At 37.6% G+C, this 19,571-nt stretch overlaps 1 protein-coding gene across 5 annotated transcripts in view, besides 2 other annotated features; it reads left to right on the top strand.

Annotated features, from left to right (window-relative positions):
* SAMSN1 (SAM domain, SH3 domain and nuclear localization signals 1) overlaps positions 1-19,571 on the top strand; it is a 174,190-nt gene that overhangs the window by 26,188 nt on the left and 128,431 nt on the right. For 4 of the 5 annotated variants that reach the window (NM_001395858.1, NM_001395857.1, NM_001256579.3 and 1 more), the window contains one exon: positions 17,214-17,254. In NM_001395858.1, the coding sequence (NP_001382787.1) occupies positions 17,214-17,254 (41 nt within the window). Of the gene's footprint in view, positions 1-16,773; positions 16,811-17,213; positions 17,255-19,571 lie in introns of those variants that run through there. The other variant, NM_001395856.1, reaches the window with a different exon arrangement.
* Positions 15,584-16,344: an enhancer, noted in NCBI's record as "OCT4-NANOG-H3K27ac hESC enhancer chr21:15989207-15989967 (GRCh37/hg19 assembly coordinates)". NCBI's record gives its function as "activates a minimal SCP1, AML or CMV promoter by ChIP-STARR-seq in primed H9 embryonic stem cells {active_cell/tissue: H9 hESC(primed)}" and the evidence as "EXISTENCE:reporter gene assay evidence [ECO:0000049][PMID:30033119]".
* Positions 16,345-17,106: an enhancer, noted in NCBI's record as "OCT4-NANOG-H3K27ac hESC enhancer chr21:15988445-15989206 (GRCh37/hg19 assembly coordinates)". NCBI's record gives its function as "activates a minimal SCP1, AML or CMV promoter by ChIP-STARR-seq in primed H9 embryonic stem cells {active_cell/tissue: H9 hESC(primed)}" and the evidence as "EXISTENCE:reporter gene assay evidence [ECO:0000049][PMID:30033119]".

The raw sequence follows: 19,571 nt of genomic DNA, 5'->3' as shown, positions 1-19,571 counted from the left end.
ATGGTGTCTGTGTGTGTGTATGTGTGTGTGTGTAGAGAGAGAGAGAGAGAGAGCAACATCTAGACTGGTGTTTCACTAAATATCTGGGTACTGTGGCCTAGCCATGTTGACACATAAAATAAATTAACCATAACATCTGACTTTTGGTATTTATGTCCTTGTGTAATCTTCATCCTTGCATGTTACTTGATTCCAATAGAGTAGGGCAAAGGTGACAGGAAGTCACTTTTGTGATTAGGGTACAAAAGACGGGCTAGCAGACTGCCTCTGTTGCCTTCTTGTTTTGCACACTATAATGAAGCCAGATTCCATGTGGAAGAGACCTGCATGATAAGGAACTAGGAAAGGCATTCAGTCTATAGCCAACAATAAAGTAAGGCCTCCAGCCCAACAGCCTTCAGGAAATTGAATGCTGCCAACAATCACTGAGTAAAATTAAAGGAGAATCCTTTCCCTAGCTGAACCTTCAGATGAAACCTTAAACCTTTGGGCCCACAGTTGATTACAATCCTGTGAGTGACCATGGAACAGAGAACCCATCTAAGTCAGGCCCATATTCTTAACCCACAGAAACTCTGAGATAATAAACATGTATTTTTTAAGCCATTAAATTTGGGAGTAATTTGTTGCACAATTTACTGTTGCACAATAAATAATACACAATTATTTGTATTACAATATTATTTGTATTACAATTATACAAATAATTATACAAATACAATTATGCAAATGCAATTATTTGTATTACAATTATACAAATAATACACAATTATTTGTATAAATTTGTGCACAATTTATTGTTGCACAATACATAACTAATACGGGAACTAAAATTAATGTGACAAGATACTGATCAGGGTTATTTGCAGATATACAAATGAATGCTAGTCAATTTAAGCAGAAAGGAATATACTACAGGTTATAGAGAGCCCAGAATTATTGGGAACTCAAAACACATACTCTAAGTTTGCAGGGATTACACCGAGAAGGCACAGTATAAACCAGCCACCAAAGATTGCTGCTGCTTCTATCACAGTTAGGAAGTGGCCAAATCAAGCAGCTACTACCACAATGGCTGGATCCAGAACCACTCTCTCCACTGAAGTTTGTGACATTAAAAATAGATGCACACACCTTGCTGTTTCCCTGTGTTAGTCAGGTTTTGTATCAGTGTCTTAAGTTAGCATCTGTGATAGATGTGACCTAAACAGCATATCTTATTCTAGTAGCAAGAGAAGTTAGATGAGTTTTTTTCCTTCCCTTCCTTCCTTCCTTCCTTCCTTCTTCCTACTTCTCTTTTTTCTTCTCTTCCTCTTCTTATTCCTTCTTCTACACATTGATTTTCAGATCAATGAAAGACAGATGTCCACTTCAGCAAGAAAATATATATTCAAAATATCTAGAGAGTAACATAAGTAATGGTGATTAAATTCTGATTTATAAGTATCAAGCCTAACATCTGTAAGAATCCCCAGGAGGAATTCCTAAAAATAATGCAATACAGTAATTAGAAGCACAAAATTGGGGGGAGGAAGTCAAACAAACATTATAAAAATCCCATCTTGGGTGGGGCATGGTGGCTTACGCCTGTAATCCCAGCACTTTGGGAGGTGGAGGTGGGCAGATCACGAAGTCAGGAGTTTGAGACCAGTCTGGCCAATATGGTGAACCCTGTCTCTATTAAAAATACAAAAAATTGCCGGGTGTGGTGGTGGGCACCTGTAATCCCAGCTACTCGGAAGGCTGAGGCAGGAGAATCGCTTGAACCCAGAAAGCCTGGGTGATGGAGCAAGACTCTGTTTCAAAGAAAAAAACAAACAAACAAACAAATCCCACCTTGGACAAGTTCTTTAAACTCTTTAAGCCCTTGTTTCTTCTCCTATAAAATGAGAAAACTATTTGTTACCTCTTAATTATCAGGTGAGAATAAAAAGTGACAATGTATTTTATACTATTAGCAGGAAGTCTGGGACAAGGTAAATGATCAATAGCAGGTGTTAACTCTAAGTACATAACTGTGGTTCGTAGTTTAATGGTACAAGTCCCATGGAGAACATGAGATTTAAGCTTAGCTTAAAAAGGAAGAAATAGAGTTAAAAATGATGAAAGAGAGGTGTTTAAGATGTTGTCACTGCACAGTGTCCCAGAACCTTTCACAAAAGGTCTTAAAAAACCACTTAGAGTCTAGTGTCTTATAAATGGGTAAATGGACACATTGAAAGGTGACATGTCATCTTAGAATAGGTGAGTAATGGAGAAGTCAAAGTAGGTGACTCCCAAGTTGGTATTCTAACCACTTAACTGCATTTCTTACTTGGCTTAAACTATTAAAATTGAGAGTTTTTTGTTCTGTCTTATATTATCATCAACATTGACATAGCTATTAATAACATAGACACTAAAGGAAGAAAATGAGATTAACAATGGCATCCATCAGCTAGGTCTTCATCAAACTATGGACAAGAGGAGTCAATGTCAAAACAGTGCACGTAATCTTTTCCTTGACTTTGAGATTGTGTAATGACTCATAACAAGCCAATATGTAAAACACAGATTACGTTGACTAAAAAGACTGCACTTTTCTTTCATTTTTATTGTTTCCTGTTATATCTATGATTACATACAGCTGTTCTTCTGCCACCAATTCACATATGAACACCTTTTGGTAGTTTTAATTGGTTTCGTCCCGTAAATAGAGACTTATGTTAAAATAAAATGAAATCAATAGATGAAGGTTAATTGTGCTCTGTTCTTTTTTTTATTTCCTAGGCTTACAGGAGAACTACTAATTGAATCTGATGAAAGCCATGGTTATCTCTTTAATCATCTCTAAAAAAAAAAAAAGCTGTAAAGCAAAAAAGCCCATTCCTACTTTAATTTTCTCTTAAAAGCATTTGTCATCACTACTGACATTGGACCGAACTACTATAGATCAGGAAGCATGGATTGTTTCTACAGAAAGGGATTTTAAAGTTCCTGTTCATCAGCCTTCGTTTTATACATGGACACCTGATTGAGCTGTGGGTGGGTTCCTGGGTCTTGTCCAGTTTAGTAGCAGCCCTGGGAGAGCAAGCCAGGTTCTGGGGTACCAGTTCAGTGCTTTTCCATTGCAAAGATGGAATTTGACATTTTTACCCATCGGATTTCCTATCACATTTTTTTGCAAGTTTGCTTGGCTTGCTCTTGTTTCATTTGTGGCTATGAAGATTAAAGAAGATAATAAGTGGCAGGAAACATGGCACTTAATAAACATTAGTTGTTCTTTCCCTTTCTAAAACCTTGTGTAAATATAATTTTATAAATCACATTTAAGGACACTTAAGAGACCTCTGTTTTAAGACATCTGGAAGGGAATCTTTTTGCAAAGGAGGAATCTTTTATAATGCAAATAACCATCCCCTAGGTAACCTGTTTTGCCATCCTGGATATTTATAGTGCTCTGAGAAGAGTTTGTTGCTTTAGGATTGATATAAAGCTCTCTTCGCACACTAGTAGACAAATGGCAAAGTTCGTGCAATTTACCAGCCCTCTTCCTGATGGATTATGGCCCCGTGCATTCTCCAGGCGCTATAAGCTACAGGACCTGCCCTGCGATGAGAGGCTGTGTGTGGATGCTGTACACCACCCTCTTAGAGAAAGCAGAATTCACTAGCTGTATGGGGTTGTTTCTTGAAGACAGGAGCTGGACAGGCTGGCAAGCAAGCCTTACTTTTCCCATCAGAAAGAGCTGATTGTAGCTTTTCCTTCTTCATTTTATTCTCACAGGAGGATAAAATCTGTTTTCCCTGAGAACCATAACATTATTACAGTAATATGCTGAGGGGGCTCTCTAATGCACAGACTGTCATCTAAATTCATTGGTTCCTGAAGTGTCCGCTTTTAATTAACTGTGCTGTCATAAATTGCTGGGCATTCTTTGATGATGATGATGGCAGCTACAAAATAATTAATACCTTTAAAACACATCAGTGTGCTGTTTACACACTTGTCTTCAAATAGTACTAAATTATTAGTATTAGGGCTTGAAGAAGGGTGTTCTTTCTGAGTTATTTAGTAGTGACATGTGGTATTACATTTCTCTGCATTTTTGTAGCTAATCTCCCTTCTGGCTAATAGTGCTTCTTTGTGAAATTTCTGACCTAGATGATCAGTAGATTTTGGATCTATGCCGTCAAGCATAGAAGTAGTATCAGGTAGTAGTGAAGACACCACGCACAAAACCCTAGTTTTATCACTTACTAGTTGTGTGAGCTTAGGCAAGAATGTTGACTGCTCTGTGCCTCTGTTTACCCATCTATAAATTTACCTATAAATTGAGGTTAATTGTAATAGTATCAACCCTACAGATTGTTGTGAGGATTAAATTAATTACTACACAAAAAGCATTTAGAACTATGCTTGATACTGTATGTATTCCACCGTTATTATTCTGCAAATGTGTAAAATCAAGAAATCACAAAAAGGATAGGATTTTATCCTTGTCATTCTTAGTAACTTGCTTTTTAACTGACTGGGCTCTGACATTTACCAACATTCCCCTTTGCCAAAGTGATCTCATTCATAACTTGGGAGACTTTTCTGTCACTGGAATTTTTCCATTCATTTGCAATCAGGTATGGAGGAAGGCAGTAGGACTTTTTCACATTTGTGATGACTTGTTACCAGTCACATAAATCTTCTCGTTTTGAAAATACAGTTGGTAGCTCAATATATATTTTTTCATCTCTCTGATTGCCTTAGATACACTGAAAAATTAGTCTATGAACTTTTTCTTTTTTTAATTTTAAAATTGTTTTATTTTATTATTTCATATTTTAGTTGACACAATAATTGTACATATTTGGGGAGTATACAGTGGTATTTCAATATATATCATGTATAGTGATCAGATCAGAGTAAGTAGCACGTCCATCATCTCAAATATCATTTCTTTGGGTTGGTAACACTCAACATCCTTATTTTAGCTATTTGAAACTATAATATATTATTGTTAATCATCCTATAGTTCTATGGAACACTAGAAGTTATTCTTTCTATCCAGCATAATTTGTAACCTTTAATGAAATGATTTTAATCTCCTATCCCATTGATTGGATGCTGTTGTGTTTCATCGTGTATATTTGTCTTTGTTTTAATTGATATTTTTAAGTCTTATTGCAGAAATTTCTTTCTATTACTATAAAAATAATTTCAGCTCCTGGTACCATCCTGTCTATTGCTGGACTAGAGCAAACTTTGTCTCACTTTTTGGGTGAGGATATTCAACATGGAAGGAGAAATGGTGCTCCCCAGACAAGGGAGAAGTCTCAGGAACACAAACCCCTTTTCTGTATCACATTTCCTAGAATCACTTATCCTCGTAGTTAACTCCCAAAATGCTTCCTTTAGCCTTAAGAAGATAATATGAAATAGCTTTCTATTAATTATGCCCTGAGAAGCTCGCAGCATCATTTTACTTTTTTTTGTTTTTGATTTGATGTTAGTGTATCCTCATATTTGTTAAAAATTTTAGTTCAATTTAGTACATTTATTGAGCATTCATGCTGTGCATGACAATGCTCACTGCTACTAGGGGGATCTCTTTCCTCACAAAACCCTGTTGATATTGGCCATGGGCCTCCAGACAATTTGTAGAACCACCTTTCAAAGTACAAGTATGTGTGAGAATAGTCTTCCTAACAGCCTTCAATTCTAGATCAGTTTGGAGTCAGATCAAGTCACACTCTGAGTGCTTCCATCTTGAGCATATCTAAATTGAGGCAAGGATGGAGAGTATTCAGAGAACAAGAGAGTCCTTTTGTTTTCCAGGAGTCTATGAGGAAGTAAAATTTGGTGAAAAATTTTGGAAGACTAAATGTTTATATGACTTTTATTGGGGTATATGCATTTATGCACCTAACATTAGCTCCAAGTCTTATCAAGCTCTCCTGGTGTTTATATTGCTTTTTTTTTCATTATACTTTAAGTTCTAGGGTACATGTGCACAACGTGCAGGTTTGTTACATATGTATACATGTGCCATATTGGTGTGCTGCACCCATTAACTCATCATTTACATTAGGTATATCTCCTAATGCTATCCCTTCCCCCTACCCCCACCCCATGACAGGCCCCAGTGTGTGATGTTCCTCACCCTGTGTCCATGTGTTCTCATTGTTCAATTCCCACCTATGAGTGAGAACATGCAGTGTTTGGTTTTTTCTCTTTGTGATAGTTAGCTGAGAATGATGGTTTCCAGCTTCATTCATGTCCCTACAAAGGACATGAACTCATCATTTTTTATGGCTGCATAGTATTCCATGGTGTATATGTGCCATATTTTCTTAATCCAGTCTATCATTGATGGACATTTGGGTTGGTTCCAAGTCTTTGCTATTGTGAATAGTGCCACAATAAACATACGTGTGCATGTGTCTTTATAGCAGCATGATTTATAATCCTTTGGGTATATACCCAGTAATGGGATGGCTGGCTCAAATGGAATTTCTAGTTCTAGATCCCTGAGGAATCGCCACACTGTCTTCCACAATGGTTGAACTAGTTTACAGTCCCACCAACAGTGTAAAAGTGTTCCTATTTCTCCACATCCTCTACAGCCCCTGTTGTTTCCTGACTTTTTAATGATCACCATTCTAACTGGTGTGAGATGGTATCTCATTGTGGTTTTGATTTGCATTTCTCTGATGGCCAGTGATGAGCATTTTTTCATGTGTCTTTTGGCTGCATAAATGTCTTCTTTTGAGAAGTGTCTGTTCATATCCTTTGTTCACTTTTTGATGGGGTTGTTTGTTTCTTTCTTGTAAGTTTGTTTGAGTTCTTTGTAGATTCTGGATATTAGCCCTTTGTCAGATGAGTAGATTGCAAAAATTTTCTCCCACTCTATAGGTTGCCTGTTCACTCTGATGGTAGTTTCTTTTGCTGTGCAAAAGCTCTTTAGTTTAATTAGATCCCAGTTGTCAATTTTGGCTTTTGTTGCCATTGCTTTTGGTATTTTAGACATGAAGTCCTTGCCCATGCCTATGTCCTGAATGGTAATGCCTAGGTTTTCTTCTAGGGTTTTTATGGTTTTAGGTCTGACATGTAAGTCTTTAATCCATCTTGAAGTAATTTTTGTATAAGGTGTAAAGAAGGGATCCAGTTTCAACTTTCTACATATGACTAGCCAGTATTCCCAGCACCATTTATTAAATAGGGAATCCTCTCCCCATTGCTTGTTTTTGTCAGGTTTGTCAAAGATCAGTTGATTGTAGATGTGTGTTATTATTTCAGAGGTCTCAGTTCTGTTCCATTGGTCTATATCTCTGTTTTAGTACCAGTACCATGCTGTTTTGGTTACTGTAGCCTTGTAGTATAGTTTGAAGTCAGGTAGCGTGATGCCTCCAGCTTTGTTCTTTTGGCTTAGGATTGTCCTGGCAATGCAGGCTCTTGTTTGGTTCCATATGAACTTTAAAGTAGTTTTTTCCAATTCTGTGAAGAAAGTCATTGGTAGCTTGATGGGGATGGCATTGAATCTGTAAATTACTTTGGGCAGTGTGGCCATTTTCACAATACTGATTCTTCCTATCCATGAGCATGGAATTATCTTCCACTTGTTTATGTCCTCTTTTATCTCATTGAGCAGTGGTTTGCAGTTCTCCTTGAAGAGGTCTTTCACATCCCTGGTAAGTTGGATTCCTAGGTATTTTGTTCTCTTTGAAGCAATTGTGAATGGGAGTTCACTCATGATTTGGCTCTCTGTTTGTCTGTTATTAGTGTATAAGAATGCTTGTGATTTTTGTACATTGATTTTGTATCCTGAGACTTGGCTGAAGTTGCTTATCAGCTTAAGGAGATTTAGGGCTGAGACTATGGGGCTTTCTAAATATACAATCATGTCATCTGCAAACAGGGACAATTTGACTTCCTCTTTTCCTAATTGAATACCCTGTATTTCTTTCTCCTGCTTGATTGCCCTGGCCAGAACTTCCAACGCTATGTTGAATAGGAGTGGTGAAAGAGGGCATCCCTGTCTTGTGCCAGTTTTCAAAGGGAATGCGTCCAGTTTTTGCCCATTCAGTATGATATTGGCTGTGGGTTTGTCATAGATAGCTCTTATTATTTTGAGATACATCCCATCAATACCTAATTTATTGAGAGTTTTTAGCATGAAGGGCAGTTGAATCTTGTCAAAGGCCTTTTCTGCATCTATTGAGGTAATCATGTGGTTTTTGTCGTTGGTTCTGTTTATATGCTGGATTATGTTTATTGACTCATGTATGTTGAACCAGCCTTGCATCCCAGGGACAAAGCCCACTTGATCATGGTGGATAAGCTTTTTGATGGGCTACTGGATTCGGTTTGCCACTATTTTATTGAGGATTTTTACATCGATGTTCATCAAGGATATTGGTCTAAAATTCTCTTTTTTGGTTGTGTCTCTTCCCGGCTTTGGTATCAGGATGATGCTGGCCTCATAAAATGAGTTAGGGAGGATTCCCTCTTTTTCTGTTGATTGGAATAGTTTCAGAAGGAATGGTACCAGCTCCTCCTTTTACCTCTGTTAGTATTTGGCTGTGAATCCATCTGGTCCTGGACTTTTTTTGGTTGGTAGGCTATTAATTATGGCCTCAATTTCAGAGCCTGTGATTGGTCTATTCAGGGATTCACATTCTTCCTGGTTTAGTCTTGGGAGGGTGTATGTGTCCAGGAATTTATCCATTTCTTCTAGATTTTGTAGTTTATTTGCGTAGAGGTGTTTATAGTATTCTCTGATGGTAGTTTGTATTACTGTGGGATTGGTGATGATATCCCCTTTATCATTTCTTATTGTGTCTATTTTATTCTTCTCTCTTTTCTTCTTTATTAGTCTTGCTACCAGTCTATCAATTTTGTTGATCTTTTCAAAAAAACAGCTCCTGCATTCATTGATTTTTTGAAGGGTTTTTTGTGTCTCTATCTCCTTCAGTTCTGCTCTGATCTTAGTTATTTCTTGCCTTCTGCTAGCTTTTGAATGTGTTTGCTCTTGATTCTCTAGTTCTTTTAATTGTGGTGTTAGGGTGTTGATTTTAGATCTTCCCTGCTTTCTCTTGTGGGCATTTAGTGCTATAAATTTCCCTCTATACATTTCTTTAAATGTGTCCCAGAGATTCTGGTATGTTGTGTCTTTGTTCTCATTGGTTTCAAAGAACATCTTTCTTTTTGCCTTCATTTCGTTGTGTACCCAGTAGTCATTCAAGAGCAGGTTGTTCAGTTTCCATGTAGTTGAGCAGTTTTGAGTGAGTTTCTTAATCCTGAGTTCTAGTTTGATTGCTCTGTGGTCTGAGAGACAGTTTGTTATAATTTCTTTTCTTTTACATTTGCTGAGGAGTGCTTTACTTCTAACTATGTGGTCAGTTTTGGAATAGGTGTGGTGTGGTGCTGAAAAGAATGTATATTCTGTTGAATTGGGGTGGAGAGTTCTGTAGATGTCTATTAGGCCCGCTTGGTGCAGAGCTGAGTTCAATTCCTGGATATCCTTGTGAACTTTCCATCTTGTTGATCTGTCTAATGTTGACAGTGAGGTGTTAAAGTCTCCCATTATTATTGTGTGGGAGTCTAAGTCTCCTTGTAGGTCTCTAAGGACTTGCTTTATGAATCTGGGTGCTTCTGTTTTGGGTCCATATATATTTAGGATAGTTAGTTCTTCTTGTTGAATTGATCCCTTTACTATTATGTAATGGTCTTCTTTGTCTCTTTCGATCTTTGTTGGCTTAAAGTCTGTTTTATCAGAGACTAGGATTGCAACCCCTGCCTTTTTTTGTTTTCCATTTTCTTGGTAGATCTTCTTCCATCCCTTTATTTTGAGCCTATGTGTGTCTCTGCACGTGAGATGGGTCTCCTGAATACAGCACACTGACGCTGATGGGTCTTGACTCTTTATCCAATTTGCCAGTCTGTGTCTTTTAATTGGAGCATTTAACCCATTTACATTTAAGGTTAATATTGTTATGTGTGAATTTGATCCTGCCATTATGATGTTAGCTGTTTATTTTTCTCGTTAGTTGATGCAGTTTCTTCCTAGCATTGATGGTCTTTACAATTTGTCATGTTTTTGCAGTGGCTGGTACTGGTTGTTCCTTTCCATGTTTAGTGCTTCCTTAGGAGCTCTTGTAGGGCAGGCCTGGTGGTGACAAATTCTCTCAGCATTTGCTTGTCTGTAAAGGATTTTATTTCTCCTTCACTTATAAAGCTTGGTTTGACTGGATATGAAATTCTGGGTTGAAAATTCTTTTCTTTAAGAATGTTGAATATTGGCCCCCACTCTCTTCTGGCTTGTGGAGTTTCTGCTGAGAGGTCCGCTGTTAGTCAGATGGGCTTCCCTTTGTGGGTAACCTGACTTTTCTCTCTGGCTGCCCTTAACATTTTTTCCTTCATTTCAACTTTGGTGAATCTGACAATTATGTGTCTTGGAGTTGCTCTTCTCAAGGAGTATCTTTGTGGCATTCTCTGTATTTCCTGAATTTGAATGTTGGCCTGCCTTGCTAGGTTGGGGAAGTTCTCCTTGATAATATCCTGCAGAGTGTTTTCCAACTTGGTTCCATTCTCCCCGTCACTTTCAGGTACACCAATCAGATGTAGATTTGGTCTTTTCACATAGTCCCATAATTCTTAGAGGCTGTTCATTTCTTTTTACTCTTTTTTGTCTAAACTTCTCTTCTCATTTCATTTCATTCATTTGATCTTCAATCACTGATATCCTTTCTTCCTGTTGATTGAATTGGCTACTGAAACTTGTGGATTCGTCACGTAGTTCTTGTACCATGGTTTTCAGCTCCATCAGGTCATTTAAGGACTTCTCTACACTGGTTATTCTAGTTAGCCATTCGTCTAATCTTTTCCCAAGCTTTTTAGCTTCTTTGCGGTGGGTTCAAACTTCTTCCTTTAGCTCGGAGAAGTTTGATCATCTGAAGCCTTCTTCTCTCAACTTGTCAAAGTCATTGTCCATCCAGCTTTGTTCCATTGCTGGCGAGGAGCTGCATTCCTTTGGAGGAGGAGAGGCACTCTGGTTTTTAGAATTTTCAGCTTTTCTGCTGTTTTTACCCCATCTTTGTGGTTTTATCTACCTTTGGTCTTTGATGATGGTGATGTACAGATGGGGTTTTGGTGTGGATGTCCTTTCTGTTTGTTAGTTTTCCTTCTAGCAGTCAGGACCCTCAGCTGCAGGTATGTTGGTGTTTGCTGGAGGTCCACTCCAGACCCTGTTTGCCTGGGTATTAGCAGCAGAGGCTGCAGAACAGAGAACATTGCTGAACAGCAAATGTTGCTGCCTGATCTTTCCTCTGGAAGCTTCATCTCAGAGGGGTACCCAGCCATGTGGGGTGTCAGTCTGCCCGTACTGGGGTGTGCCTCCTAGTTAGGCTACTCGAGGGTCAGGGACCCCCTTGAGGGGGCAGTCTGTCCATTCTCAGATCTCTAACTCCATGCTGAGAGAACCACTACTCTCTTCAAAGCTGTCAGACAGGGACATTTAAGTCTGCAGAGGTTTCTGCTGCCTTTTGTTTGGCTATGCCCTGCTGCCAGAGGTGGAGTCTACAGAGGCAGGCAGGCCTCCTTGAGCTGCGGTGGGCTCCACCCAGTTGGAGCTTCCCAGCCACTTTGTTTATCTACTCAAGCCTCCCCCAGCCTCTCTGTGACCTTGCAGTTCGATCTCAGACTGCTGTGCTAGCAATGAGTGAGGCTCCATGGGCATGGGATCCTCTGAGCCAGGTGTGGGATATAATCTCCTGGAGTGCCGTTTGCTAAGACTGTTGGAAAAGTGCAGTATTAGGGTGGGAGTGACCCGATTTTCCAGGTGCCATCTGTCGCAGCTTCCCTTGGCTAGGAAAGAGGATTCCCTGGTCCCTTGTGCTTCCCAGGTGAGGCGATGCCTTGTCCTGCTTCGGCTCACACTCAGTGGGCTGCACCCACTGTCTGACAAGCCCCTGTGAGATGAACCCAGTACCTCAGATGGAAATGCAGAAATCACCCGTCTTCTGTGTCACTCATGCTGGGAGCTGTAGACTGGAGCTGTTCCTATTCGGCCATCTTGGAACCACCCTGTCTATTACCTTTGAAGTTTCATAATCATCCTCTTTGCTACATGTCTACTGGAATTTTAAAAATAAACTGTCATGTCTTCTTTGAAAATCTGTAGGAAATTTGTTGAAACATAGGAAGCCAAGAAATATCCAGAAACATACTTATTCAGTTTGCGTGTGGCATTTTTGGAATCACTGTATTTTAATATTAATATAACCATTTTAGTTATGCAAGTGAACAATCTTCATTTTTGCAAGAGAATGAATTAAACAAAATAGAAATTGAATTAGCTTATTTTAATAGGAATTTATATGTGTGTTATACATATTTACATATGTGTTTGTACCCATGTTCAATTCACTTCAAAATCAGAATTCTATCTAACTATTAATAAACAATGTATCTAATAAGAAATGTCATCTATATGTATCTCCAGTGTGTTTGACATCATGTAAGGATTTTATATAGGTTAACTCATTTAATCTTTAAAGCTAAAAAAATGGAATTCAATAGGATTCTGAGATCAACAGTCACTGGTGATAGATAATTGAAAGAAAGACTACTTGCAATTCTTTTTTGCATCTAAAACAATGAGGGGTACATGAAATGCTACCTTAAAATATCACACATTGGCATACTGAATGTATTAGATCATGTTCACACTGCTATAAAGAAATATCCAGAACTGGGCAATCTATAAAGGAAAGAGGTTTAATGGACTCATAGTCAAACCACTGTGAGGGAGGCCTCAGGAAACTTACAGTCATGACAGAAGGGGAAGTAGGCAGAATGTACCTTCTTCACATGGTGGCAGGAGAGAGTAGGAGGAACTGTTAACCACTTATGAAACCATCACATCTCGTAAGAACTCACTCAGTATCACGAGAACAGCATAGGGAAAACCACCCCCATGACCCAATTCCCTCCAAGTTCCTCCCTCAACACCTAGGGATTACAATTCAAGATGAGATTTGGGTGGGGACACAAAGCCTAACCATATCATTGACTATCTTGAAGTGAAGGAAATTAAGAAAACAGCAGAAGCAGGAAGATATCTCTGACTTTCTCTTGCCCCTTCTCTCCTAAAGTGGACCATAGAAACCGAAATTTCCATTGCCCCTTTCTCCCCTGAAACAGGCCATAGAATTATAATTCCCCCTCTCTCCTTCTACCCTGAAGCAGGCCATAAAATCTAAGAAGATCACTCTCTGAATTACTCTCCCCTTCTCCTCCTCTGAAGGCTCTCAAATGACAGGTATTCTGCTCTATACTCAGAGAAAAGGGATGTCACACAGAGACGCCAAGAGGAAGCTGAACAAACAGGCCTTTCTAAATTCCCTCCAGTTTATTACCATCAGATCATACCTTTTGTCTTCCAATCATATTTCTACACGGCAATTAAAAAAAATACACTTTTCTCTGAGTTTTAGGGACTTCATTTCTGAAGGTTTATGCCACATAAAACTTTTAATAAATAAGTGTGTATTATTTTATCTTGCTAATCTCTCTTTTGTTATAGGAATATCAGCCATGAACTTTGTGATAGGTGAGGAAATAAATCTTTTCTCCCCTACAACAGTGTCTGGTACATAGTAGATGTTCAATAAGTGTTTGTTGAATAAAATGTGAATGTAGAAATGAATGACTTGTGCAATTCCAAAAAAAATACATTAGAAATGTTTTAAATCCACCAGTATTTAGTTAAGGTAAAGCACTATATGCTTGATCGTAAATGAGTCCATTTATCATTTTGAGCCTCAATTTTTTCATTTTCAAGTCAAAGTTTGCATCAGCTCTACAGTCCTAAAAATTCACCATGGGATTTACATCATCAATTGCTGCCAATCAGTTTTCTCTGGTACAGAATCATCTTTCCCATTTCCATTAGCTAGGCAACAACAACTCCTGACATATTTACATTTTTCCTTTTGACTTTGTAATTTGAAAGTGAGGTTTACAAAGCAATAAAGCAAGAAACAGGCACATATTAGTCTGAATCCCAAAGGATAGTCATCTGTAACCTCTGCATGAGAATAGAAATATATTTGATATCTACAATTTATCTGTTCTTTTAAGGTACATCTTCTCTTTCTATTTTTTAAAACTTTGACCTAATTTTATATACGGAAGTGCTTTGCTGTTAGAGTCTACCCTCATTTACCTTAAAAATAACATAGCTTGGAAATGTTTCTTAGTTTCTGTTGGTTCATTTGTAATAATTTTTCTACATTTCATTTTTTATTTTCTAACAATTGCTAGGGAGAAAAATAAAATTAAGCCACACATTCCCTAGTGAATGAAAGGTAAGAAGAATTATTACTGCCTAACTTAGGGGATACTGAAGTGAAGGCTAACAGGAGTAAGTTTTACCCAGCATTCATGGCAAATGTCAAATTAAAGGACTAGACATTTTTTCACTGAAATAACTCTCCAAAGTGGTATCTTTCTTTTGGAATTCAGAGTAGAACACACACACACACACACGCGCGTGCGCGCGCGCGCACACACACACACACACACACACACACACACACACATACACAGCTGTGGTTCTAAAAATAAAAGTGTATGTAGTCTTTCTTTGACTTGCCCCTCTAGGAATAAAGTACCCAGGGTGTGAACTCCAATATACGTGACAGTCTGCTTATGTAAGCAGCAGTCAGAATTGAAAGTCATTTACATTTTCCACAGCTGCTTTGAGTCTGGTATAAGCAGTACTAAAAATTGCTTAACCAGTTCAGTAGTAATCTACAACTAGGCAACACCGAGGGAATAGACCTATTATTCTAATTAAGTAGATGTTGGCCTGTTTAAGTAATCCCTCTTCCTCATATAATCACACTCCAGACCCACATTTAATGTGCCTGACTCTCCCTACCCTTGTAGGAAGCAGGTTGCCTAAGGAGAAATACATTAACTCTTTCATCTTAATAGAGATTAAAAAGAAGTTTCAGCTCAATTTTTTGCCCAAAATATTCATTACAAGAAAGTCTTTTAACAAAATTTCCCAAACCTAAACTGATTCATCATGAGGAAAAATTGGATGACCCCAATTCCAGTAAAACCAGAACAAAGTGGATAGTCCCTAGAGAATATTGTGACAACATACATAGTAAAAGTAACCAATCTCTATTTGTGGTCTTAGGAAATTACTTTAATCTCAGTCCAGATGTCTCCAAACTTCAAACCGGAAGCTAATTATGTTCCTTTCACCACAATCAGCTGTTACAAGTGTTTAAGCTTTGTGTGGGTCCCATACCTAATTGTATTAACAAAAGCTTCACCCAGGTGATACAGGAGACTATGTTTGCGTAATACATCTTCTTTCCAAATTCAAACTCTCTTGCTCGATTGCATATAAATTTTGTGAGCCATCTGGAATTAATCTCTTTGATAGCAAAGGCAGAGGAATCCTGATATAAGAAGTTGGTTCCAAAATACTGTGACTTGAATAATTAAAAATTAAAAGGTATCGAATGTTTCCCATATTCCTTATTGCAAATCTTGTCTATTTTCACAAAAGGTAGACTATTTTGAAGACGGCAACATTCATAATCCCAAGAGATTTACCTAAACCCATACGACAAACTAATGAGACTCAGGATGATGGATTTTGACTATTGAGACATATTTGGTCCCGATTGCATAGACTGTGGAACATGGAGCTTGCTTGTTCTTTCCTAGTGAGTTCCAAATACACATAACAGAAAAACACTACTATAAAGATGGATGGCCATCCTCTTTCCTCATGATTGTCACAAAGCTTGTTAAATGTGAGTGGCTACTGATTGTGGGGCAAGGAACACAATTAGCTTCTAATCTGAGGTTTGGAAAGATCTGGCCCAAGACCTAAACAATTTCAGAAAAAGACCTTGAATAGAGATTGCATACTTTTAGGGCACAGGATGACAAAGCATAGAGAATGGAAGGAGTGGTCCATCTGACCACTAACTCCTCAAAGGCCTGCTGATATCCTCACTCACATTAGGGCTTAATTCATGCTTCCCACATCCTTACTTACAACCCCCATCCACCACCTCTTCCCTACAAGCAATGTCCTATGGGTCATGCACAAGTATTTCAAACTTGGTAATATGTGCTCCTCGAGTTCAGGGACTGACTGTTTCAGTGTGTGGGGTTTTAGCAACGTTCTGCTCAACCACTAGGAAAATAAAAAATTCAAATTGTCCTCTGCAGTTAAAAATCTTGATACAAACAAAATAAAGATTAGATAAATGGCCCCTTCGATCACTATCTTGGGGAAAGGTTATCCTGGATTTCACTGTGCCCAGGCTGTTACTATTAACGACCTGAATAATAGAATCAAACTTCCTTTTTCTGGTTTCCATTCACCTTTCCTTTTAGCCTTAGCATTTGTGTTTTTCCCCCTCAAAAGTGGAATATTCGTTGCAATTTTCTTTAGTATGTAAATTCCTACCATGCCAAACAAATGAACCTCTCCAGAACACAATCGGTTGCCTTTCATGTAGATATTCAGTAAATGTTTTTTAAATGGAGGAGTAGGTGAATAATAAAGACAGAATCTGAAGAGCTTTTAAAGGTGTCTAGGGCAGTTTAAGCTGTTTCAAGGATGGTGAAAAATGTGACAAATTCTTTCCCCAAAAGTGTAAGGGATTTTACACAATGGTCACTTGATCTGAAGAAAAATGTCAGATGAATCACAGATGTATTTCAACACCCTGAGGGTATTGTGATAGGCTACTTTCCATTTTTCTCAAATGAAGGCACTCTATGATACAACTAACACACCCAGGTATGTGTCTCTCTCCTTGGTTTTGGTGGATTGATGGAGGGACAGAGGTTTAGATAATGAGGATTTAATTGGATGTTTTAATTTAAAAGACCTGTTGTTTTTTTTTAAACTGGCAAGGGCTTAAAATAAGATATAAGCCCTCGTTAATAAAGGAAATATCCTACCTTTCTCAAAGTTACAAAGACAAAAGGGAAAAAAAAGTTAAAATGTGAGCCAAACTTCTGTGACACATTACTAAAATACAACAGGGGACATATCAGTCTTTTTCACTAGGGAAAAGACAAAAGGAACTACGTTTGGATTATACTAGAAAATGAATGAATTCTCTTTCAGATCTCTTGATATAGTTTTGTCTTATTTTATGTTATTTATTTTATTTTATTCATTTTATTTTATTTTACAGGGAGTTTCTAATTTAGAGAATGCAAAACCAAAAAAGAGAAAGTAAGTCAAATTTACTTGGTAAACTTCATGTTCCCTTAGTTCTGTAATGTTGAATGTGAATTTTTAGTGGACTTCGTGCCAAAGTACTTTTTTTTTTTTTTTTTTTTTTTTTGCAGCTGTCATGTACAAATCTAGATGTGGATTGCTTTGCTATCATTTCTCTGTTTATGCTGATGCATGGGAAAGCTGTGTTGTGACATTCCAGTAGACAGGGATGTGCAAATTAAATTTTTCAGAAGAAACATGTGTCTAAACCAGGCCTAGATTAAAGTGGGAGCCTCCATAAAAACATATTTCTATCAGTGACCTATAAATCTTCTGAAGTATTTTTCTAATCCACATAAAAATGTGTTTGCAAAGAGTTTCAGGTTATTTAGGTCAGGCCTGGCTTTACATTCAGCACATCCAGCTGCCAGAGGACATGACATACACATGTTGCATAAGGTAATGGGATTTTAATTGATAAGCACGAATTACACATGGGCAGGAAGCCGGTTTATGGGGAAATTTTCAGATTGGTTGCCGAGGATACAGAAGAATGGCTTCCTTGCACCCTGGATTGGTCTGAGGCCAATTGTAAATTATGTGATGTTCTCTCTGGGTGTCCTCTTTCTCAAAAGCTCTTGTGCTTTTTCATATTCTTTCCTTTTTTTTTCTTTTTTATTCCCCCTGCTTAAAGCTTTCTCCCAGTTAAAAATATAAAACACATCCATAGTAAGTAGGTAATTGGGTGATTAACAGCTTAGGGACCTGTCAGGCTGGTGTAGTTGTATTTTAGTTACAATTAACTATTTAAACTACAACACTGGCATTTGAAGCACGAGGTGGAGTAAAGAAGGGGCTTTGGCTGGGCCTTTCTCAGCCTTATCGCCATGTATGTGAGGCTGTTTTTCTGACCATGAATAAGAAATTCACTAATTCCAAGGAACGTACTTAAACAAAATAGTAGCCGTTTGCTTATGATTGATGCTTCCGCAGAATATAGGCTACCAAAACATAGATGACAGAAGGAGGATTGAATTAAAGGGAAAGTGTCTGATGATGACCAATTTACAATTTTTCAAACATAAACCAGATCAGTTAAGGTGGGCCTCAGATTTCAAGCAATTAAAATAAAATTGAAGACTCCTTTGAGTTCCTTAATTTCTTTTTTTTGGCCTACCACTCTCCTGATGGAAATGATGTCTCATGTTATTATACACCTACATCACTTTACAGTATTATAAACAGCTTTATTTGTTTGGAATTCTTGCTATATGCCAAGAGATGTCCTAAGCATTTTGCATTAAAAATTAAAAACAAAAGATTAAGAAAAAGGAAACCTTATATATGCATGTTTTTGCTTACAATTTTGAGCTTAAAAAGGGTCACCTTCGTTTTAATTTAATTACTATCAAGAATATGTATCTGTGCTGCCGAAGCGAGCACATGACTATCAAGAATATGAATGTGGGAAACACTTAAGCTGTAACAGTTAGTGATGAGATATGTGTGTTTACCCACACACATGAATTGATTAGCAGTCAAGTCAGCATAGTCCTATCCTCTGCTTCTGTTTCAAAACATTTTGTTATGGAAATTTTCAATCATACATAGGGGAAGAGTTAATGATAAACTCATATCACCAAACTTAAACAAGGATCAACCTATAGTCAATTTTATTTCTACCCATTCTACTACCTCAACTGCATCCCCACTGTTTTTGTATTAATAAAGCAGATGCCAGACACATAATTTCATGCTTCAGTGTATGTTATTAAAAAATAAGAATTATTTTTTAAAAAGCATAATCACAATACCATTACTGCACTAGAACAAAACAAGACAAATGACATTAAATTGCCAAATATACAGTCACTATTACAATATTTCTGACAGACTCAAATGCTTTTTCAGAGTTGGTTTATTTAAATCAGGATCCAAAAAGCTCAGCTGGATTCAGTTCAGGTCTCTTAATTTATGTCTTTTCATTTATTTGTTGAAGAAACTGGAGTCTGTGTCCTGAAGAATTTCCCAGATTTTTGAATTTTGCTGATTGAATCCTTGTGTTTTTTTAAGCATGTTTTTCTCTACTGTATGTTTCCTGTAAACTTTTAGTTAAATCTCAAAGTGTGATAAGATTCAAATATATATAAAGTATGAAAAGGTTCAAATATGTATATTTATATATATATTTAAAAGTTGGTCTTCAGTGACTGCATACTTTCTGTTTTGTTGTATTGTAAGCTTTACGTCTACTCTCATTGTTATTCACTTACCTCACTTTACAATATTATAAATAGCTTTATTTGTTTGGAATGCTTGCTATGTGCCAAGA

The sequence above is a fragment of the Homo sapiens genome, chromosome 21 (genome assembly GCF_000001405.40).
Source record: "Homo sapiens chromosome 21, GRCh38.p14 Primary Assembly".
Lineage (NCBI taxonomy): Eukaryota > Metazoa > Chordata > Mammalia > Primates > Hominidae > Homo > Homo sapiens.
Note: the sequence above shows the minus strand (reverse complement) of the source record. Positions and strands in the feature narration are given on the sequence as shown.